Consider the following 24,491-nt stretch of genomic DNA (forward strand, 5'->3'; position numbering starts at 1 on the left):
GGCCAATGGTAAAATTCTCCCTTTTGGCTGGGTGCGGCGGCTCATGCTTGTAATCCCAGCACTTTGGGAGGCTGAGGTGGACGGATCACTTGAGCTCAGGAGTTTGAGACCAGCCTGGCCAACATGGTGAAATCCCGTATCTACTAAAAATACAAAAATTAGCTGGGGGTGGTGGTGCGTGCCTATAATCCCAGCGACTAAGGAGTCTGAGGCAGGAGAATCGCTTGAGCCCGGGAGATGGAGGTTGTAGTGAGCCAAGATTGCGCCACTACACTCAGCCTGGGTGGCAGAGTGAAACTTCATCTAATAATAATAATAATAATGGGTTGCAGCCCTAAGGAAATGTGTACTTAGGATGTGTGCCCCTCATTGAGTTCTCCATGCCACATCACCCTAAGGGAAGAGCATGGAGTGTCTCTATGCCTTTCCACACCTTGGCAGTAGGACCAGAAAACAACAAAAAAAAGCAGAACAAAAGCATAGGAGAAGACAAGGGGTAGAAGGCCCCAAAGGAAGCAAATTATGAGTCTTGTGTCACCTCACTCAGGTGCACAGGACATTTCTAGGGCTGCTCCTGAACAGTTAATAACCTTCTAGCTCACACTGAGCCCTTCTCTGCTTTCTCCAACCCAAGAGGGAACAGAATAGATCCCTGAGGCTCAAACACCAGTTGCAAGCCACATAGATCAAGACTGGGTCTCTTTATTTCTGCTGCTCCACAGGGAGGAGGGTCTCTCTAGGGAGCAAGATGGATGGCCATGGGCTGACATTCATGCCCCAGCCTCAGTGACCGAGGCAGCATTAGTGAGCGACAGCAGGGCACAACCTTGAATGCAACGCTGACGGGAGGACAAACTCAGTGCATGCAACCTGTTGAACACAGGAGCTGAGAACCAATGGATTCATGCAAAGAAAAGCCCTGGGGAGCTGAGCAAGACTATGGGGTCCTTGCACCAATATCCTCCTTGGCTCTATCATCTATCATAAGACTCAACAGGGGCTGGGCACGGTGGCTTATGCCTGTAATCTCAGCACTTTGGGAGGCCAAGGCGGGAGGATCACTTGAGCTCAGGAGTTCAAGACCAGCCTGGGCAAAATGGCGAACCCCCAACTCTACAAAAGATACAAAAATTAGCTGGGCGTGGTGGTGCATGCCTATAATCCCAGCTACTCAGGAGGCTGAGGGGAGAGGATCACTTGAACCTAGGAGTCAGAAATTGCAGTGAGCCGAGACTGTGCCACCGCACTCCCACCTGGGCTATAGAGTGAGACTGTCACAAGTGAAAATGAAATTCAAGAGGGAGCACCGTGTTTCTTAAGCTCTCCTTGCCCACTTTCCCATCTGTAGTAAGCAATCCTTGTTTCCCTGTGGTTTATCAAGATCATAGGGAGTTGCCCTTCCCATTTGCTAATGATAGGCGGGGCCCCTGGCAGCAAGGCTGAGTGAGTGATTTATACCCCTTCCAGGAGGGCTCAAGTTAATAATAAATCAAGCAGTGGTGGTGCAGTCTGGACCAGTCACTTTTACATGCCCACGAATTTCCCCCTCAATAGTCAGAATGAAGGGCGCAGAAGAAATAGCGAGCCAGAAGAGGGAAGATCTAGATGGCAGTGATCTCAGCAGGTGCTGAAATCCTGCAGTCCACAGGTCTCCCCATCCCACGCTCCCCAGGAAAGCAATGGGGACAGACGGAGGCTAGGGCAGATGATTCACTTCCTCTCCCTCCTCCCTCTAACAGAAGAGGCTGAGAGCAGGAGGAGGATCAGTTGCCACCTCCTGGATAAAAAAAGGAGGGTAAGACCACCTACTTATGAGGCTCTCAAAGGACTGTAAGCCTCAGTCACCAAACTCCCAGCCTGATGAGCAGGAGGACTGGGAGCCGTGAGCACACATCCACTTCCTGACCTTTCTGCATTCTGGGCAGCAGAAACCGTCACCAGCGAGGCGTCTGATTCTCAATTTATCATCAACACAACAGAAGCTGAGGCTGGGAGATGGGAGTGGGGTGTGATCAGAACCCTGGTCAATGCTTTCATCAGTGCCCTCAGAGACAAGGACAACCTGCCTACGGTCAGGATTCCTTCCCATCCCAAGTCCAGTCGGCTAGGGAGGTTCATAACAGATCAGTTTCCTGGTTAGTCTCTTCTTTAAGCCTTAGGCTTATTTCTCCATGTTTATTGATTTTGTCTTCCTTGTCTTTACTACAAGGCTATCCTGATGCCACCAGTATGCCCCTTTCTGCTTCTGCTCCAATTTGAGGGTGAGCAGTGGAGTGAACACTTCACCAGCTGTCAGCCTGCCCTGCCTGAGTTTCCTCCTTTAGAAAATGACCGATGACATCATTGTGAAGGCCCCTTGCAGCACTAATAGTCTATAATTTCAGCTACTCTCTCCATTTTCAACCTCTCTGAACATGCATTTTGTCTCAAAGCTGCCCCTGAAATCAAATAGCTCTAGGCAGATTGTTATCTCGGTTCAATTGTTCTTCCTTCTATGTCTAGTTCACACAAATTACCACTGGTACATTTTCCAATCTGTGAGGAGACCAGGGATCTTTTAGCAACATAATCGGTAACACTTCTAATTCCCTAGATGACCAAAGAGAACCAAGAGGTTCTGCTTTAGACTGTATGGTAGGTCCCAGCACAAAAAACCCTTCGTGTATTCAGGCAGCTGGAAGGAAGTGATTTTGTCCTTCCCTCTGTTTTCTCTTGCTTTCCTGTAGGAGCTGTTAGTCAGTGACTTTGATCAGATCTACACCGTATCACTACTTGGGTAAATCTGACAAGGGGTACTAGGTATTAGCAGAGAAGCTTAACTTCAAGAATTAGCACATGCACTGATTAATTTTTCTTTGTTTCTTAGATGCTATGAGTTTGGGGCACCAAACTCAGTACTCGCCGCATTATACACACACTCATTAGAGGCTAGCACTGCATACCCAAACATTCCCTATCCACGCCCTTGCCCAGCAGAAGTAAAGTCCTGTAGCTACACAAACCTCATCAGGTGAAATACAGCTCCCCTGAAATGTGGACTTCACAGGGATACCTGGGCATTATCTACACATATTACGATTTTTTTTTTTTTTTTTGATGAAGTTTTGCTCTTGTTGCCCAGGCTGGAGTGTAATGGTGGGATCTCGGCTCACTGCAAACTCTGCCTCCTGGGTTCAAGTGATTCTCCTGCATCAGCCTCCCAAGTAGCTGGGATTACAAGCACCCACCATCACGCCCAGCTAATTTTTTGTATTTTTAGTAGAGACGGGGTTTCACCATGTTGGCCAGGCTGGTCTTGAACTTCTGACCTTCAGGTGATCCACCCACCTCGGACTCCTAAAGTGCTGGGATTCCAGGTGTGAGCTACTGTGCCCGGTCTATTATGATTTTTGTATTCAGAAAAGATATGCCTGGTTCTATGACAAGCATACTGCATTCCAACCTAACGCATTCTTCCTCTGAGTTTACGGATCCTTAAAGCTCTCCAGGTGTGGAATTACAGCTGGTGAGAGGTCAGAATTCACTCTTGGAGCCCCCACCCCCACCCCACCACCTCCAGGCCACTCCAGGCCTCCGAGGATCCTATAGTTTCTCAGGTGTTAATACTCTTGGGGATACTTTGAAATAGATGCTAACATGCAGCCCTTGTAGATGAAATTGGTTTCTCCACTACATGGCAAATGGTAGCTGTCTTCTATGGAATCTAAAGGCACTCCTAAAGACCTCCTCTGGCTAATTCTCTTGACTCTTACCTGGGGAACTATCTCTCCATAAACATGGCCTTAGGCAACACAGCATCTATGTTCTTACTGTTTGCAACGGCTGCCACACTCTGGATTAGGCAAGCTGGAAATAACAGGGAACAAATATACCCTGACACCTAAAATACTTCCGAGTTCACAGGCAAACCACTGGTTCAGAAAAGTCTGCCTAAAAAATCCTCCACGACTTTAGCCAACAGCCAATATTCTCCAGACTTGGATCCCAAGGGACATGAGACTAACTCAGACACATCCTGGTTTGATGCTGGTGTTGGATTGCTGTTTCCAAATTCTGCCTTACAATTAAGGGTGCAAAAGGGGTGAGAGGGGAGAACATTTTTCTGGGACCTTGGCCTATGTCTCAGTTGCCTCATTTGTTGGTTTTTAATAATTTTGCATGCTAATTGGGCCAGAGGGCTCCAAACCTCAGGTCCTAAGTTTTCCTTCGAATTTCCAATTCTGCATATAAAGGAAGTTCCTGGCTATAGAGTACAACACGCTCCATGCCTTTAGCGAACGTGCTTCAGGGAAGAGAAAGCATTTCTAGTGAGAAGCTACATATCACGTATGCTGCACTGGATGGGATCTTAAAAAGACCAAGGGAAGGTGCACTAGTTTGGTGTCATTATATTTAGAAAGCAGAGATGAGAAATCAGGATTTCAGTGGTTGGGAAGAACAGCTTAACCTCTCTGCAGAAATGCAGGCCATAAGTTCAAACATGGTACTCTGAGGTTTTCCTTATTATAGAGTCCTCTCTTCTTGCTGGGTTTTAATAGGCACTTTCATTGTTCTCTGCAGCCAAAATGAGAGCTGAGCTGACAGAGGAAGTGGTCAGTCCTGTTTTGGCTCTTTCTTTGCACAGCTCTGCTGTGTGATAGCAGCTGGGTCAGAACAAATGCAGAAGCAAAGGGCAGCGTCCCAACTAAGTCTCCCCAAACGTTTAGCTTTTGTGTTTGACCATTCTCCAACTTTGAGTAAGGTAAAGCAAGTGGAATATGGATGGAGAAAACCTCACCCATACCCTGTGCCCTGGGGCCCTAGTGCAATTCTCTCATGTGAGAGGTGAGAAAACTAAAGCCATCTGCACGGGCACCTTGCCAATATCACCCAGGAAGTGGCTGTCATGCAGGTTTCTGCCAACCCCCATTAACTATTCCTGCATCAGAGAGGATGAAGGGTGGGGCAGAGGGATGCTTTGGCTTCACACGGACTTGTTCCTCTGAAGGCAAGTTTTGCAATCTCTTGTTTGGTTCCACAGTCAGAGCAGGTTCAACATGAAATGTAGAAGAAAAAACAAAAACAAAAAGCAAAGCAGGCCGGGCTCAGTGACTCATGCCTGCAATCCCAGTACTTTGGTGAGCTGAGGCAGGCGGATCACCTGAGGTCTGGAGTTTGAGGGGCCAACATGGTGAAACCCTGTCTCTACTAAAAATACAAAAATTAGCTGGGCATAGTGGTGTGTGCCTGTAATCCCAGCTACTCAGAAGGCTGAGGCACAATAACCACTTGAGCCTGGAAGTGGAGGTTGCAATGAGCTGAGACTGCACCACTGCACTCCAGCCTTGGTGACCGAGTGAGACTCCATCTCAAAAAAAAAAAAGCATTTCTTTAAAAGAAACCTTTGCTTTTTTCAAGAAGATAAACGTGTTCTGAAACTGGAAGCAGGTTATTAGCATTTTACAACTGGATGGAAAATGTGGCATTTGTGAGGAGTCTCTCCAGACCACTTAATCATCCCAGGAAACAATAATCAAGATGTGAATGTGATTTACATGCGAAAGAAGAGAAAGCTCTGTCTCACTTTGGAAAACAGGCTCTAAGTATCTCGAATGCCCTGCCTACAGCTCACATGTGGTCCTGGAATTATGATCTTTCAATCTCCTGTTATAACATAATCATTAATGGTTTTCTTCCGAGTTAGTAAAATTAAAAGTTAATTCAAAGCACTTTCCATGCCGGGCACAGTCGCTCATGCCTGTAATTCTAGCACTTTGGGAGGCTGAGGTGAGCGGATCACTTGAGGTCAGGAGTTTGAGACCAGCCTGGCCAACATGGCGAAACTCGTCTCTACTAAAAATAGAAAAATTAGCCAGGCGTGGTGGCGCGCATGCAGTCCTAGCTGCTGAGGCAGGAGAATTGTTTGAACCCTGGAGGTGGGGCTTGCAGTGAGCAGAGATTGTGCCACTCCAGCCTGGGCAACAGAGCAAGACTCTGTCTCGAAAAAAAAAAGGCACTTTTCAGATGCTGTGATGGAAAAGTAAATAGACATTTTTAGAGGATACTTTGGTAATATTTATTTAAAATACACATACAGTTTGATATGTCAGTTCCACTTCTTCTAAGGATTTATCTTACAGATTTGCTCACCAAATCATGCCAATGTATGGCACAGAGTCTTACTGTAAGTCTTGCAATGAAATCAACCTAGACATGCATCAGCAAGAGAGGGATTTATAACCAAATAATATAATGAAAAATAAGCAGCAATTTCAAAAAATGAGGCAGTCCTAGGGGTTCTCATTTGAAAGGCCCCAAGATAAAGTGCAAAAATCTGTAGAACTGAATTTTATATTTCACATATGGATACACATTTTTGGGATGATACAGAAAAAAATCTTAAAAGTGATGGTAGGAGCTGGGATGGGGTGTCAGAAAACTGACTTTTCATTTTATTCCTTTCTCTGTTGTTTGAATTTTTATAAAAAAAAAGTATTGACTTTATTGGAACAATAATATATTATTTAAAATTCAGTTTAACGGGGAAGGTTTAAATGAAGTTGAAGCTTCACTTCAGTGATATTATAGCTCAGGCCACAGAAAATTTTTAAAAATAAATGTTTTTTTCCTTTGGAGCACTTCCACCCCTCCCCACCCTGTTCCTGGCTTGATTTTTCTCCTGGCACTCGCTGCCTTCTGACCAGTAGCTACTTTACATCTTATCTTTCTTATTGTCTATCTCTCCTACCAGAATGTAAGCCCCTTGAAGGGACTGGGAATTATTTCCATTGCTGAAACTTCAGCATCTAGAATTGTACCCAGCACAGAGTTTGCAATCAACAATATCTATCAAATGAATGACTGCATTAATATGCATTTCTTAAAAATTTGCCAGTAGTAGTCAGCTTGTTGAGAAAAACAAGCTGACTGACTACTGTCAATATATTTAATTAGTGTTCTGTATCTCTGGTTTGCCAGCTATAAAAATAAGAATGGTATCACTGCCCTGGTACATGTATTCATGCAAGTGAGAATATCTATATGAACTGTATTTTCAGACTTCTTATCTATTGCTGGTGCCAATGGTTTCAGTTCAACAGAGAACTCTCTAATCTTCTCTAATCTCCAGGCATTCAGAAATGTTTGCCGAACTGCTGAACTGAATTTTAATGGTATCCTACATCAAAGAGGGAAATGATCTCAATGAGACATTAGGTTTGCAAATTTACAAGTAACCACTTAAAGCAAAAAGGTCTCTTGATGACCATTTCTGATCATCATTTCCCTCACACGTCCAACCATCCATTCCCTGCAAAAACCTTCCCCTTGGCAGCCTTCATGGATCTGTCCTGACACATGCAGTCTGTACCTCCTAAACCAAGCATAAACCAAACAACTGCTTCGACAAATTTTCCTTGCACTGAGTTGACTGGCTGTTCAATTGAATTGGACAAATGGGATAACAGATGCACTGGAGGAATATGTAATCTGATACAAGTATAAAGAGGTGAAATTAACATTGATACAAAAGTGGCATTTTGCCACTGTAACATTTAGAATAAGCACCTGTTTTAAAAATGTAACAAAGTAAGAGATTTCGATTAGGTTTTCCTTATACAACTAAAACCTCCCCCCACCCATAAAACGCAAATCATTAACTTCAGCCATTGACTCTGATAAAAGTATAAAAAGGTGAAATTAACATTGACACAAAAGTGGCATTTTGCCACTGAAACATTTAGAATAAACACCTGTTTTAAAAATGTAACAAAGTTAGAGATTTCTATTAGGGTTTTCCTTATACAACTAAAACCTTCCCCCCACTCCCCTCCCCACACCCCTTTCCCCCCTCCCCCCACCTCCGACATAAAGCATGAATCACTAACTTTAGCCATTAACGCTGATACATTTCCAAGAAGTTTACACAAACTACTATCATGATATGCCCTGGAATGACTTTTTCCTCCATTCATTCAGGCCAGCCTATACTGTGGATGGAAAAAGTCAATGAAACGCATAGTTTTCACTAGCAGATTCTTACTGACAAAATAAATGTAGAAGAGTCTAATGGTATCTTTTGGCTTAATGTATAATATTAGAAAGGCAGACACTACATTCAAGTTTCAAAGAACTTCAGCGTGAACTAGTTCTTTTTCTATTTGGATCTAATCTCTCAGCTTTGGTACTGCATGCCAAACAGTAACTAAAGTTGCAATGGATAAATATTTCAGTTACAAGATAAAAGTGAGTTAAGGACCCATGGGACTGGAAGATAATTGTGCAATAACAAATCTAAGCTGCCTTGGTAAGCGGTGAGAAGTGAATGAAGGATTTCTCATATTACATGACCAGTAGTTCTGTATATTCTCCAGATTAATGATTAATGTTTAAAAGATGTCAAAAAGAAGAGAGAGAGAGAGAGAAAGAGAGAGAGAGAGAAAGAATGTCATGCCTTTGGTCTCTTGCCAGTTTCAAAACATGGTTCCGGGTACAGAGAGCCATGTCCAGGGGCAGCAGATAGAATGGTTGGCTCTCAGGGGCTAGAGTCCAGGGACAAGGTACATATCTTCTTGTTGGTCTGGGAGTCTAAGTTTTGAAATGCATTTCTACTGAACAACTAGCTTGTGATAAAGGAATACCACGACAATATATTCATTTTAATTCATGTTATTCAGAAACGAACATGAGAAAACGTCTGAATAGGTTTCCCCGTTGAACTCGCAAACCTCCAGCATTGAACTCACAAACCTCCGGCAGCTCTCTGTCTCCCACCTGCACAGATTGCTGTGAGAGCCGTGTACAATTCAGCCCCTGCTTCCCACCAAGCTCATGTCCCATTTCCCCTTGCCGGTGTCTATTGAAGCATGTCAGACTGGTCTCATCCTTCTCCCACATGCACTGCCATCCCTGTGGCTTTGTTTCTCTTTTATTGTTCTCTAAACCTGGAAAGCCCTCTCCTCCTCACCCCCTACCTCCCCAGTTCTGGCCACATTTCAGATCTGATCTCTAAGTCCCATGTTCTCATAAAGTCTTCCCTAAACCCTCCACCAGCCTTCATTGATTTCTGTCTCTTCTGGAAGCCTTTATAAGAAGCACTCATGTTCTGGGCTGCCCAATATCCTACCATATCCCATCCACCCATGTACCATGTGTTTTAACCTTATCTTTCCTAGTCAGTTCTTAGGAACCCTGCGAGTGGACGTCATGGTTTACTGGTTCTGGGAAACAAAGTGGTGAAGCCATGAAGTCCAGTTCGCCTGACACCCGCTGGTTGGTGACTGATGGTTCATTGTAGATCACTCCCCAGAACTGGTTACAATCTCCAAGAGAGTGGATCAGAGCTAACCAGCACAGGGGCTCGTGGTCGAGATGCACTGCCCTCTATGGAATAATCTGCCTTGTTGAATTTGTTATACAATGGGCTGGGAAAAGGAAGAAGATAAGAGCCTAGAAAAATCTACAGAAAAAGAAAATCTGTTGTTGCTACATTCCTCCCAAATCAAGACTAAGATATTTCCTGTTTTTAAGTAAGAACTGTCAGAGGTTTCTCATCAGAACACACCACAGACTGACTTATAACACACTCTTTTGTCTCAGCCAGTACCTATTGTTTAGGTAGAATAATGTTGCTGACAGTAAATTTGCAATGGAACCCTCTACTGTGTCATTGCCTATTGAGAAGAAATATTTCCATAGGACTGAAAAAGGAAGTCATGTGAGTACAAGTCTAAATCCAACATGCTAACGCAAGTCTAAGAGAAACGCAGGAGAGGACACATACACAAAGAATGCTGAAAGGGTGAGAGGTTTTAAATATGACCCATCCAGGCCACAACTATGGAAAAACAAGAGTTCCTTTTTAGGGACATGCCCAGTGGAGGACAGACCCACCCATAGGCCTTAGAGCTTAATCCAAAAAGCAGGCTAGATGGTGGCCTAATGTAGTCTTCATGCTTAATTCAGCAAACATTATGTAAACATCTGCTGTGTCCAGTAAGTGTGTACATGTGGGTACATGCACATGTAGATGCAAAAGAGAGAGAGAGAGAGAGAGAGAAAGAGATAGTGAGAATGTGTGGTTTAGGACCCATCCTGAGGACAGAAGTAAAAAGCAGGCCTGTACACAGATGGCTCATTACCCAAGGAAATAGGAGCCTTTCAACCTCATCTTCCTCCCACCATGTTGCCACGTCCACACTCTTATAATTTGGAGAGGGCAATATGGATGGGCTGGCTTGCCATATATTCAGTAGATAATTGACTTCAACAGCTCCCTGGAAGAGTCTACTTCATTGAGAAAGCAGGACCAAGACAGTAGTCCTTGCTCAGCCCTTCCAATCCCGCAAGCAACGCAGGACTGGTCTTGAAGGTCCAGGAGAATCTAAGCCTCTCCGTCAATGTCAAGTTTGTTACCTCCATCGCTGCAGGTCCTAGAGTCTGAGGCCAGGCTGTCCGTGGAGCCGGTGGTGAAGCTGACGTGGACACCCCTGAAGGATGGGCTGAGGCTTTCTGCAGAGCCCTGGCTCACTTTTTCCAAATCAGAGCTGCTCTTGTTCATTTTTAGAAGGTGCCTGGAAAAGGTAGGAACAAACAATACAAATAACTCATTGGATTTCCATTCAGAAACCAGGCTGATGGATCATGAACTTACCATGCTCTTGAAACCTGGCCAATGTCAGCAAGTTTATTAAAAGAAAAAAAAAAGATTTTGGGGAGACAGTAGAGGTTCTCTTCTGAGTTCTTATGTGCATGAATGACAGGAGACTTCCAGAGTGTGGTTAGGAGAAGCGAGTCTATTAAATTTAAACAAGCACCAAAATTCTTACATGGAAGGAATTGCCTTCATATTCTGACCCCATCTGCCAAAACAGTTGTGTCACTTATTATATCCTGTGTAAAATCTCTACAAAGAAAAATAAAGATATTATCATACACACCAATGTATAGAGACATACAGATATTGGGTTGTTTTTGCAAGATCCCAGGACAAATGAATTGCAAACTAGGCCTTTACAAGTGGGATTTCTTTTTTTACCTGGTACTCTTTTGCCAAAGCTTCAAAGGGTCTAGATTGTTTCTTGGAATTAAGGAAAACTTTAAATGTGAACCAGACTTCCAGTGACATGCTTAGATAGAAACAAATTGACATAACCCTTATTCCAGAACAATGGAACCAACCTTTTGCTTTTCTGTGAAATCTTTTGTTGCATCTCTAAATAGCATCACCAACAGATCAAGGACAGAAATACCAACTTCAAGAGAAAAACACTCACATTGGAGAAAACAGTTCTATTATTAGGTTGGGTGTTTAGCTTATTGATTTCTCCTTCCCACTTTCCAAGGGCCACATGAATATTCATTTCTGATCTGACATTCTCACCATGAAGGGAGACAGATCCACACCAGGTCCAGCTCTTCCCCTGCTGGTGGAAACCCACATTTGTCTGAACTGATATTTCCTGATGACATTCCTGTTCCTTCTACGGCAGATCCATATCTCAATATCTGCTATGGGAAATATACAGTACAGTACTGATTTGGCATCAGAACTGCCTTATTTAATGCGCATGACCTTACGGTCAAGAATTTATTGGCTGTTCTTTGTGTTCAACATTGCCAGGCCCTGTTTTAATTTTCATAGTCACGGGAATCCCCTGTGTATCAACAGGAGGGTTTAAAGTTTGTTCGCTACCACAAAAAGTGCTCCTTGAAAACACGTCCCTCTCCCCACTCCCAACCCTTAGAATCGTACTTTTAAACTGTGTTAAATCTGTCAAAAAAAAAAATGTGACAGTGAAGGCAACATTATGACTAATCTTCATCTTTGTATCTCAGTATCGCTGTGGGAACCTTGGAAATATCAATTCCTTAGGAAATGCTATGGCAGTAGCTGATCCTTGCCTAATCTCCTGGCAAAATAAAATCAGACAGTTTCATACAATATTCTTATATCCACATCAGATCTATCACTAATAGTTTTCTCCAAGGGAAGCCAGGATATGAAGTCATGCATAACAACTCCTCAGTCTAGGAGAGAAGCCAGAGCCAGCTCTGTGGCTATCCCCTACTTTGCCCCTTCCAAAGTGGTTTCTAGAGTTTCTTGGTCTTCAGGCCCAGAAAATCACTAAGGGAGAAACTACAGCACCATGGCTACAGAGCTGGCACAGCTTCCCACTCCACAAACTTCATGAAATGTATGTAAATAGACAAAACCAAAAAATACATAAACATGTGTATGTATGAGCATATATATATATTCATATACATATGCACACACACACACATACTTACTTAAAGTAACAGCCAAGATTAAAAGAAAGAACAATTCTCAGGTGCCAGATACAAAGAGGGAACTCCACACACAGGCAGTACAAGGGATCCTTCAATACTAAGCGTATATTTACTACAGATTTCAGTAGACGCACTTTATCAGGCTAAGGATGTTTATTTCTATTTCAAGTTTTCTAAGGTTTTGTATTTCAAAATCATTTTTGGCTATTAGGGTTTATTAAATGCCTTTTCTACATCTATGGGAAAAAAATCATATCATGTTTCTCCTTTACTCTGTGAATGTGATGAGTTATGTTAATAGCTTTTCTTAATTAAGCCATCCTTGCACATGTTGTATGAACTTATTTTACTACACATTGCTGGATTCAGTTTTACTCATATTTAGTTTAAGATTTTTACATTTACATTCAAATAGAGGCTAGCCCATAATTTTTCTTTCTTGTCCTGTCCTTGTCCAATTTGGATATAAAGGTTAAAATAGAATTATAAAATGACGGCCGGATACGGTGGCTCCCTCCTGTAATCCCAGCACTTTGGGAGGTCAAGGCGGGCAGATCACTTGAGGTAGGGAGTTCGAGACCGGCCTGGCCAACAGGCCAACCCCATCTCTACTAATCATACAAAAATTAGCCAGGCATAGTGGCCTGCGCCTGTAATCCCAGCTACTTGGGAGACTGAGGCAGTAGAATCGCTTGAACCAAGGAGGCGGAGGTTGCAGTGAGCCGAGATGGTGCCATTGCACTCCAGCCTGGGTGACAGAGTGAAACTGTGTCTCAAAAAAAAGAAAAGGAATTATAAAATGAATTGAGTAACTTTCACTTTTTCAATTATCTCATGTAATTTTTTTTTTTTTTTTGAGATGGAGTCTTGCTCTGTTGCCCAGGCTGGAGTGCAGTGGCACCATCTTGGCTCATGCAAGCTACGCCTCCCGGGTTCACGCCATTCTCCTGCCTCAGCCTCCCGAGTAGCTGGGACTACAGGAGGCGCCCACCACCACGCCCCGCTAATTTTTTTGTATTTTTAGTAGAGACGGGGTTTCACCGTGTTAGCCAGGATGGTCTCGACCCCCTGACCTCGTGATCTGCCCGCCTCGGCCTCCCAAAGTACTGGGATTACAGGAGTGAGCCACCGCGCCCGGCCTTATCTCAGGTAATTTTTATAAGAGAAACATTATGTGTTCTCTGAAAGATTGCGAAAACTACCCTGTAAAACCATCAAGGACCAGTTGCTGTATAAATGAGATCAGTAAAGATCTGGTTCTGATAAATCTAGGACCAACATTTCCAGGACACAGACCCAAGAAACAGACTGGAGGATTAACAAGTCAATTCATGGTACTTACACCAGCTATTTATGATGTGAAGAAAAAAAGAAAGTAGAGCCATATCTCATACCGTGTAGAAACACGAATTTTCAACAGAAAAGAAACACCCATTAAATTTTAAATTCATCAGAAAAAATAACGAGAAAACTTTATGAACTTGGGGTAGGAAATAATTTTTAAAATAAGGGCTAAAAAATAGCAATATAAAGAAAAAGATAAATCTGACTACTTTAAAATTTAAAACTTCTGCCTCATAACATAAAAGTCACCATTAAAAAGTGAAAAAAAACAAACCTTGGAGTGGCCAACTCACATCTTTGCAACCCGCATTACTAATAAAGTACTGGTAGGCAGAATAAAAAAGAGTGCCTATAAATCTAAGAAACAGACAAATGACCCCATTTTTAAAATGGAAATGAACAGGCAACTCACAAATGAAACAAGAAAGGCCACTCAACACATGAAAAGATTATTAAAATTATGAATGATCAGATTGTAAATAAAACAAGATTTCATTTCATACCCATCAGATCAGACTGACAACGTCAGATTTTGTTAAAGATATAGGGAAATAGGAACTCTCTCACACTGTTTGTGAGACTGTAGATTGGTAAACTCACACACAGGACAACAATGTGATGAATCTTGTAAAGTTAAATACACACATTCCTATAATCCAGTCACTCCATTTTTGGGTATATGTCCTTGAGCAATGTTACTTAAATAACTAGTAATGAATGAATGGCTAAGTCACTTGAGTGGGTCACTAGCAGTTTACTGACCAGCAGTTTATTTTAACAAAACAGAACAGAACAGAAAATATGAAAATACATAGAAAGGATTTGTGAAACTTTGTTTTGTAAAACTTTTGTTTCAGATGTGTGTTTGTTGGGTCATGATATTAATGTTTCTTATTGTGGGTCATGGTTTTTAAAAAAGGTTAAAAATTACTGCTCTAGAATATGAGTCAACAAACTTTTCCTTAAAGGGCCAGATGGTAAATATTTTAGGCTCGTGGACCATAAGGGTTCTGTTGCAACTACAGAACTCTGCTGTTGTAGCTGGAAAGCCACCATAGAAATTAGTGGCATGTTTTCTAATAAAGCTTTATTTACAAAAACAGATGTCTTGCATGTGGGCAATCAGTTACTGGCTGGTCTTGACCAGCCTTGTCCAATAGAATTATAATGCAAGCCATATATGTAATTTTAAGTTTTCTGGTAACCACATTTAAAAAATGTAAAATAAATGGGAAAAAATAATTATAGTAATACATTTTATTTAACATAATGTATTCAAAATATTGTCACTTTAAGCAGTAATCAGTATAACCTATATCAATTATTAATGATATATTCCATATGTTTTTTTCATCCTAAGTCCTTAAAATGTGGCATGCATTTTATATTTACTCACATTGCAATTCTGACTAACCACATTTTAAGCTAGTGGCTACCATACTGTGCAGTACAGAGCTGGAGAAACTCTTATAAGTGGAGAAAGGTGTTCACAACGTTACAAATAGCAAATAACCTTCTAAACTGTTGAACGGTGCTTCCACAAAGGAATGAAAACATTGTGGTATAGTCTTTTGGTGGGATACTTTATAGCAGTAGAAAAAAATGAACTGGATTTTAGGGTAGCAATATGAAGAAATATTTTAAAATGCTGAGTATTAAAAGTAATTTACAAAAGGCTCAAGTAAAATGTGATGCCATTTGTATAGAGATTAAAAACATATAAGGATATATACATGTTTTACGGAGCACATAATAAAATGTAAATGATACTCATCAACTTCAAGACAGTGATTGCTCTGGGTAGCAATGGGAGGTTGAAATGGGAATTGGATAGGGAGGGATCTTCCACAGTAGCAGTAACATTTTATTTTTAAAAAATCTAAAGCAAATGGCAAAATGTTAATATTTGAAAAATCTTAGGGAACACCTGCAGGTCAGTTAAATTATTATCTGAACTTCACTGCATGCTTGGAATATTTGATACACTAAAAATGAAAATTTCTAGTGAGAAAGCAAATCACAGGGCCTGAATGAGGCAGGGGGTGGCTGCTCCTGTTGATCTGTTGTTGCGCCTCTGGAAGGCAAACAACACACAAAATAACACAGTGGGATTTCCATCAGACCCCTCAGTGGGAACAGGCAGTCTCAACGAGGGTTGGTTCCACCACAGAGCACCCCTGTGGCTGGAAACAGTTGCATCATAGACCTAACTACTCTTTTAAGACTTGGGAGTTAATTCTTCTGTCTATAGTTACTATAGCAGAAGTCACTGTTGTCAAAACTCTCATCAAGTGAATGCAGACAAAATTAGTCTATCCCTGTGATTACAGGATAAATTATCCGCAGGGTGTGTGTGTGTGTGTGTGTGTGTGTGTGTGTGTGTGTGTGTGTGTTAGGGAGGAAGGGAGCCTCCCAAAGTGGACTTTGGTAAATCTTAGTTTCTAAGCCACAAGTGGAATTTTCATGGCTTTTGGGATCTAACTGCTTCTTCTTTATTGGAAAAGCTTGAGAAATCCAGCTTCCTGCCAGGTCGCTAAAACCCAACAGGTGACCAGGCATCGTGGCCCAAGCCTGTAATCCCAGCACTTTAGGAGGCCGAGGTGGGAGGATCACTTGAGCCTGGAAGTTTGATACCAGCCTAAGCAACATAGTGAGACCCTGTCTCTACAAAAAAAAAAAAAAAGAAAGAAAGAAAGAAAAAGAAAATCAGAAATCAGTAGGCATTTGGAATGCTCAGTTGTAAATGGGGATATAACAGGTCTTCCAAAACACACGTAGGTGACCCTTTTGCTTAATAGCAAAATCTTAAGGCTGGGCACAGTGGCTCACACTTGTAATCCCAGCACTTTGGGAGGCAGAGGCGGGTGGATCACTTGAGGCCAGGAGTTCGAGACCACCCTGGCCAACATGGTGAAACCCCACCTCCACTAAAAACAAACCAAAAAATTAGCCAAGCACGGTGGTGTATGCCTGTAGTCCCAGCTACTCAGGAGACTAAGGCAGGAGAATCGCTCAAACCCGGGAGGCGGAGGTTGCAGTGAGCTGAGATGGCACCACTGCACTCCAGCCTGGGTGACAGAGCGAGACTCTGTCTCAAAAATAAAATAAAATAAAACCTTAGGACTGATGACTCTTTCTTATGAACTGCATTAAAAAGCATCCGCCCTGGAAACCTGTGCAATCTGTACTTTTTGAGAATTGCCACTTTAATTAGGGCATGAGCAAAACCACATCAAATTAAAAAATGAACAGGAAGCTTGCCATCAAAGCACAGACTTACAATCAAGTTGTTTGGGTCTTTACACTGTGTGTAAAATAGACTTCTTAAGAATCCCTGGAAAAGGCTTACTATTGCAATGATGACTTTTCTGAGCCCTAAAGGATTGTTCTATCAGATGTGAGGCCAAAAGACAATGAGTGTACTCAATGCGGTATAACAAGACTACTTAGCCTTTTTTAAAGGCACTTTTCCTTCATTAATAATAATTTGATCTGTCTTTCACAAAACTGGTGCAAACCATCTGCAAAATACTTCCATGGACAAAAACCTCATACTCCAGTCTTTTCTGTCTGTTTGGTGAATAACATTCTTATCATCTACAGTGAGAGTACAGTCTCCACAGATGTCTTCACTCACGTAGTGTGATAAAAGACATCTTGTGCTTAACCTCAAACTTCCTTTCGGCCTCCCACTGTTGATTACATACAGTCCAGGCAGGCAGGGTGAAAGGTACAGGCCAGTGGCACGGTGTCCTCAGAGCCCCAGCCCTGCAGCTGCTGCCCAGTGTTTTGAGAATAGCTTTTCCCTCCATTGTCCTTAGAGAGAGGTCTTGCCAGAGTGGTCTCCATACTATGTTGGTGGAAAGCTGGAAAAAAAGACTCCAGCCGGAAGAGCCATCTGCTAGACTTCCTCATTCGTAGGAACAAGCCTCATCTAAAAATACCCCCGAAGCTTTCAGAATGAGAGCTTTCAGAATGCCCACAATCCTTAACGGATGCGGGGCCCCAGTGTGCAGCAGAGAGTGAATCTCACACTTTCCATGGCTGTTAAAATCCTCATATGACAGCAATATTCAAAGTGTGATTGAGGCCGATTTTCATTCTCACTGCCCCTGACTTTTGTTTGGTTCACATACATTTGGCCGAGAGCTTTCTGCCACTGGAGCGGAATCTTTGAAAACCCACATATGCCAGCATGCAGTTTCAGACTGGCTCTCTAAATCCCAGCAGGCATTCACACTGCTGGCTCTTGGGATTGGTCAAATACACTAGTAAGTTTAGTAATGATCTGGAGAAGATCTAAAGGAAAGTTTTAGAGCATCAAATAAATGTTCTGAAAGCAAGAACAAGTTTTTAAACAGTCTATACATGTTTTTTCAATTACAAAGAAGAAAGGAAAAGACTGGTTTTAAACTCAAACAACCAATAATTGTCTCAAAGACTGAGAACCTCTTACCATTCTAGACTCAGGCCCGTAGTGCTGTCCTCATCAGTGAGGCCTCCCCGGCCTTGTGACTAGCTGGGACAGTGACTTCAGGTTCCCAAGGGGCAGCCCTTGGGTGTGAAGAGCCAGCTTCAGAGGCAGCCGGAATGCTTCTCCAGGCTGCTGTGAATTCACCAGCTCAGAGCTCTCTGTTTCCCCTCAGTTCCTCTCTGACTTTTCTATAAAATGCACTTCCTGCAAAAGCACAGGAAAACAGAGACGGCTCTGCCTCTCTGACCTGCAGCTTTCAATCTCCAATTGTCTTATTTGGCTCCATGATTCAAAGCAATTCAAATATGCTCTAAAATACACTAAGTTTCTCTTCATTTATTCTCTACTATTTAGCCACTTACTAAAGTCAAAATCATTAAGCAATTCGAGTTTTCTTGGTGGATAAGAACACTCTGTTTTTAACTTATCATATGCCTGTGTTACCTGCAGTGGATCTTCCTCCTTGTCTATCCTGAATACCTTTCCCAGGCTTTTCAGCATTAAGCCGACTCTGTGCCAAGCGCTGTTAGGTGTTGGGGATACAATGGTTAACAGAGCTGACAAGATCCCTGTGCTTGAACAAACCTGCAGACCTAGGAGAGAAATATTTATCAAGCTCCTCTAGTGAGAGATCAATTCACATCTTTTTTTTTTATTTTTTGAGGCAAAGTCTCACTCTGTCACCCAGGCTGGAGTGCAGCGGCATGATCTCAGCTCACTACAACCTCTGTCACCCAGGCTGGAGTGCAGCGGCATGATCTCAGCTCACTACAACCTCTGTCACCCAGGCTGGAGTGCAGTGGCGTGATCTTGGCTCACTACAACCTCTGCCTCCCCGGTTCAAGAGATTCTCATGCTTCAGCCTCCCATGTGACTGGGACTACAGGTGCATGCCACCACACCCGGTTAAGTTTTGTATTTTTAAGAGACACAGGGTTTCTCCATGTTGGCTAGGCTGGTCCCGAACTCCTGAGCTGAAGTAATCCACCTGCCTTGGCCTTTCAAAGTGCTGGGATTATAGGCATGAGCCACCACACCCAGCAATTCACATCTTCAGAGAATATTTGCAACCTTGGTAAAAGCACCCTGACTCAAAATCTTTGTAAAATGGACGATCCTGAAAGAGCCCTACCTGGCACTCCCATAAGGATTCTCTCTAGCTTAGCCACCATGTTGGATTGACTCAGGTCCTCTGTAGTGACAGAAACACACATCTCAAATTTTCTTTGACAATCTCAATTTCAAATATTCCCCATAGTCTATTCATTCCATTGTACACATTCCAACACATTCCTAGGCTTCTGGTTTAGAAAACAAAGTATCATCATTTTGGTTAACATACTGCTATTTCCCCTCCTAAATCCTCTGTTCCAAGCAGGCTCGTCTTTGTCCTCTGATTGTCTCCAAAGCACCAAAGTGCTCCTTCTCTTCTCCTAACTGTGGCTCAGAGGAAATGCTCCTCTCTCCCTTTCAAACCATCTCCATCCTCAAAACCCAGCATCAGTTTCACTTACCTACAAATTCCTCCCAAACTATTTCAGTCTTCTCTGACCCTTCTCATCCTTCTGTAACTGACACTGCACTGAGTCTGAATCACATCACTGAGAATTTGGTTATAATCCTGGTTACATTTTTCTAATTGTTTGATGTGAAATAGGCTTGTAACCGTTCCAAAATTATAAATGGTTTGAGGAGCTGTGTCACAGTTGAGACGTGCTGGAACACAGAGTCATTATTAAACAGTTCTTGATTAAGTTTATCTGCCTCTGTTTTGAGGCCACAGTGGCATCTGGGAGAATAAATGTTTCCTTTAAGAAAGAATTACACTTGCCCAGCAAAACTTGCAAAAGGCAGGAACACAGAGCAACTGATAACCATCAAGAATACCAGATTCAATAGCTGAAACTTTCTCATATCTACTAGGTTGGTGCAAAAGTAATTGTGGTTTTTGCCATTAGTACAAAATACACCTGTTCTAAAATATTCTGAATTTTCACAAATCTTGTAGTTTTTAAATGCTTTTTTATCCAGAAGATAGGAGGAGAAAGGCAGATAACTAAGCTAGGGAGGTTTCTATTATTTATCTATCTATCTATTTATTTATTTATTTATTTATTTATTTTTTGAGACAGAGTCTCGCTCTGTCACCCAGGCTGGAGTGCAGTGGCATCATCTCGCCTCACTGCAAGATCTGCCTCCCGGGTTCACGCCATTCTCCTGTCTCAGCCTCCTGAGTAGCTGGTACTACAGGCGCCCGCCACCTCGCCAGGCTAATTTTTTTTATATTTTTAGTAGAGACGGGGTTTCACTGTGTTAGCCAGGATGGTCTCGATCTCCTGACCTCGTGATCCACCTGCCTCGGCCTCCCAAAGTGCTGGGATTACAGGCCTGAGCCACCGCGCCCGGCCGGTTTCTATTATTTTTATCGTTGGAGCTTTTTGATGAAGATGCTAAGGGAGCTATTTTGCAAATGCCTAAATGCCAGCTGAAAAAACTGATAGGGCCAATCTTCTCTGGGGGCATGTTTTCCACCCGCTGATTTATTAGGATGCATAAATATAGGAAATCAGTTTCATCTTTGGTCAGATGACCTCTGTGGTCCCCATGGTGCAGGCCTGTTAATTTGCATTTTCAGTTAATGCACTAGTGACTCTTCTGGAGCTCTACAAGTTTAAAAGCCCTTTGTTTTAACTTCATATTCAGTAGAAACCATTTAACACAGGATAAACTCATAGTTACATTAAAAGATAGGAAAATACACACACACACACACACACACACACACACATACCACACAAACACACATACATGCACACACACACACATTTCGGTTACTAGTTGGTTTCAGTCAAGGATAAAAATTCTTAAATTGGTCAGATGGAAGTGTACCCTGATTATATACAGATATACTTTAGCATGAGAGATAGAAACATTTTTTTAAAGATGACAATTCAGATTTCAGAAAAGCAAGTCTTTTATTTGTGGCCCCAGCCTACACAGTTGTGGACTTTTCCAAAGAAGTGCTGGGCTGCCTGGTGCAGGAGTGAGGATGGCAGATGTTTGGGGGTATCCAGGTGCGGAGGTTTCAGCTGAGGCTGCAGACAGGGAGATGGAGCTGCTGATGAGCAGGTAAGAGAGTGATGAAGAACTCATAGCTTGGCTCCATCACCCCTGTACACTACACTTTCATCTCTAAAATGATCACCTAAGAACAACGTGTTCCAACTCATGGCCTGGAAAGTCAAGGAGGAAACTCACATCTGTTCACACAAGAGGAGCAGATGGGAAGAAAAGGAGATGAAAAGAGAAAAAGTGGGAACTAACAAGAGAGTAACTGCATTCCACAAAAGGGCCTCTCCTACCAGCTGCCTTGCCTATAGGCAAGCACAGTATCCCAGGGCCCTCAGGAGCTACTGGGAAGAACAATGATGCTAGCAGTTGAATAACTTCCTAGACGGATTTCAGAGTCACCAAGGATGGCCAATGATGTGGTGGTTAAGAGCATGAACACTGGTGCTTCACGGCCTGGGTTCGGGTCCTGACTCAATGCTTACTGGCTGTGTGTTTTGGAAAAGGCCCTTAATCTCTCTCTGTTTCAGCTTCCCATCTATAAAATGTGGATAATGACAATACATACCTCATGCAGTTATTAGAAAGATTCAATGAGTTATTATTTATAAACTGCTCAAAACAGCACCATGTACATAGAAAGTGCTCGTTAAATGGATGGATGGATGGATGGATGGATGGATGGATGGATGGATGGATGGGTGCATGGATGGATGGATGAATAGATCAATGGATGGATAAACAGGCAAACAGAGGACTTCTGCAGTCTCCAGTATACTGAGTGTATTAGTTAGTTCTCTATTGCTATAAAGAAATACCTGGGACTGGGTAATGTATAAAGAAAAGAGGTTTAATTGCCTCATGGTTCCACAGGCTGTGCAGGAAGCAAGATGTTGGCGTATGGTGGGCTTCTGGGTAGGCCTCATGAAATTTAAAAACATGGCAGAAGGCAAATGGGGAGTCAGCACTTCACATGGCAAGAGTAGGAGGAAGAGAGTGAGGGAGGTGCCACACACTCTTTTGAACAACCATATCTCATGAGAACCCTATCATGAGAACAGCACCAAAGGGGGAAATTCGCTCCCATGGTCGAATCACCTCCCACCAGACCCCATCTCCAATATTCGGGATTATAATTCAACATGAGATTTAGGTGGGGACACAGATCCAAACCATATGACTGAGTAATTCTTTTTGCTATCGACAGAAGCAGAAATCTTCAGATAGTCTAGAGGTTCACCCTACTTTGATGTCTCTACTCTTACTACAACATTTAAAAGATCTGCAAGGAAAGATAAATAGAATGATGCTTTGAGGACATGCATTATTCTAAAATCATGAGAAAGAGTTGATTTGTCCATTGACCAGACCTCATTTTGAATTTGTGTGTTCAAGAACTAGATAATTTATAGTATAGCCCCAGATCCAGGAGGTGACATATTCCTCAGCTAATCAGGTTGCTTAGCTCTATCACTTCGCTTTCAGTATATAAAGATCTAGAAAGAGAACAACCTATTTTATTACATCAGCCTGCCTTCCCCTTGCAAAAAAGAATCTCCCATGAGTACCCTTAGCCTCCTAGAACTTTCCTTTCTCCCTTCACACCATCTCCTCATCCCCCAGCACACATCTACCTCTGGTGTTTGGTTAAACAAAAACACTAGTGAGTTGTTACCCACTTGGGAGTCACTGCAGTTCTGGGCTTGATCGAATCCTATTGAAATCCCACCAAGATCACCTGTGCCTGACCAGAATCTTTGTGTTTCTAGACTAATGGTTTTGGTGACCTTGCTTTCAGAATTCTCAGACCCTAATTTTCTTGATTTGGTGAATATTTCAAATTCACTTTGTTGAACCAGCTTCAGTGTATTTTATACTAGACTTCATTTCTACCCTTCTAGCTTGAGAGGTTATTTGGACCAAAGCTCTTAGGATGAGCTACTTCCCCATTCTTCACGCTGGGGCAGCCTTTTGCCCAATAAGGAGCAGACACCATCACAGGTTCTCTCCACACTCCCTGATCAATTCTTCACTCTCTTATCTGCATCTCAACAGGTCCAGCTCTCTGTCTTCAGACTCAGTTGACCTCCCCATTCTGGATATCCCCAAGCATTTTCCATCCTCATTCCTGTACCAGGCAGCCCAGTGCTTCTCCAGGAAAAAGTCCACAACTATGCAGGTTGGGGCCACAGTTAATTCATACTACCTCTCAGGGCTCCCTGGTAATGCTTGTACTTGACCCAAATCAGCTGTTCCAAGCATTCATCACTTTTATTCATCTTCTTAGTCACCATACTCATCTCTCTCAAGTAAGTCCTCTATTTCTCCATGACTCACAGTTTCTCTTCCTGTTAGTTCTTAAGTGCAGAGAAGTGAGATGACCATATGCCTAATTAATGACACATTTTTACATTGGTCTGCATTATTTTAGTTTTTCCCTTCATCTCTACCTCTACTCTAATTTGCCACTTTCCCAATATCTCACTTCTAGGTATACACACTATATTTGGTATACCTGTATGTTTGTTTTATATCTTGAGTTTTTCTTTGAATAAAGATTTTGTACTTGCTTACAAAAAATCCATTTTAGCTTTAAGGGCATACATAAGCTGAAGGTGAAGGGAAGGAAGAAGATATTCCATGCAAATAATAACCAAAAGAGAGCAGAGATGGCAATACTTATATGAGATAAAATAGACTCCAAGTCAAAAATGGTTACAAGAGACAAAGAAGGGGATCATTTAATAATAAAGGGGGTGATTTATCAAGAGGACACAACAATTGTAAATACATATGTACAAACATTAAAGTATCTAAATATAAAAAGCAAATATTAATGAACATAAAAGAAGAAATAGATAGCAGTATAATTATAGTAGGAGACTTCAACACCTCATTTTCAACAATGTGATAGATCAACCAGACAGAAAATTAATAAATACTGAACTGGAATTAAGCTTTAGACCAAATGGACCTAAAAAGCATATATAGAACTTTCCATATAACAGCAGCATTCTTCTCTAGCACACATGGAACTTTTTCCAGGATAGACCACATGTTGGGCCATAAAACAAGTCTTATAAATTCAGGAAAATTGAAATCATATCTAGTATTGTTTCCAACCACAACAGTGTGAAATTAGAACACAATAATATGAGGAATTTTGTAAAATTAACAGATATGTAATAATGAAACAACATGCTCCCAAAACAACCAGTAGTTAAAGAAAAAAATCACAGAAATTAAAAAATTATCTTGAGAAAAATGACAATAGAAATACAATATATCAAAATGTATAAGATGCAGAAAAAGTAGTTCTAAGAGGAAATTTTAT

General features: G+C 42.1%; 1 protein-coding gene across 3 annotated transcripts in view, besides 1 other annotated feature; it reads right to left on the minus strand.

The window, feature by feature from the left end:
- The window catches only part of PRAG1 (PEAK1 related, kinase-activating pseudokinase 1), a 68,704-nt gene that overhangs the window by 11,350 nt on the left and 32,863 nt on the right, over positions 1-24,491 (minus strand). For all 3 annotated transcript variants that reach the window (NR_163138.1, NM_001080826.3, NM_001369759.1), the window contains one exon: positions 10,393-10,550. Coding sequence is in view for 2 of the 3 variants with exons in the window: in NM_001080826.3 (NP_001074295.2) it covers positions 10,393-10,550 (158 nt within the window). In the remaining variant the exon portion in view is untranslated. The remainder of the gene's footprint in view (positions 1-10,392; positions 10,551-24,491) is intronic.
- Positions 23,281-23,410: an enhancer, noted in NCBI's record as "active region_26966". NCBI's record gives its function as "activates an Ori minimal core promoter by ATAC-STARR-seq in GM12878 lymphoblastoid cells {active_cell/tissue: GM12878}" and the evidence as "EXISTENCE:reporter gene assay evidence [ECO:0000049][PMID:35858748]".

The sequence above is a fragment of the Homo sapiens genome, chromosome 8 (assembly GCF_000001405.40).
Source record: "Homo sapiens chromosome 8, GRCh38.p14 Primary Assembly".
Taxonomy (NCBI): Eukaryota; Metazoa; Chordata; class Mammalia; order Primates; family Hominidae; genus Homo; species Homo sapiens.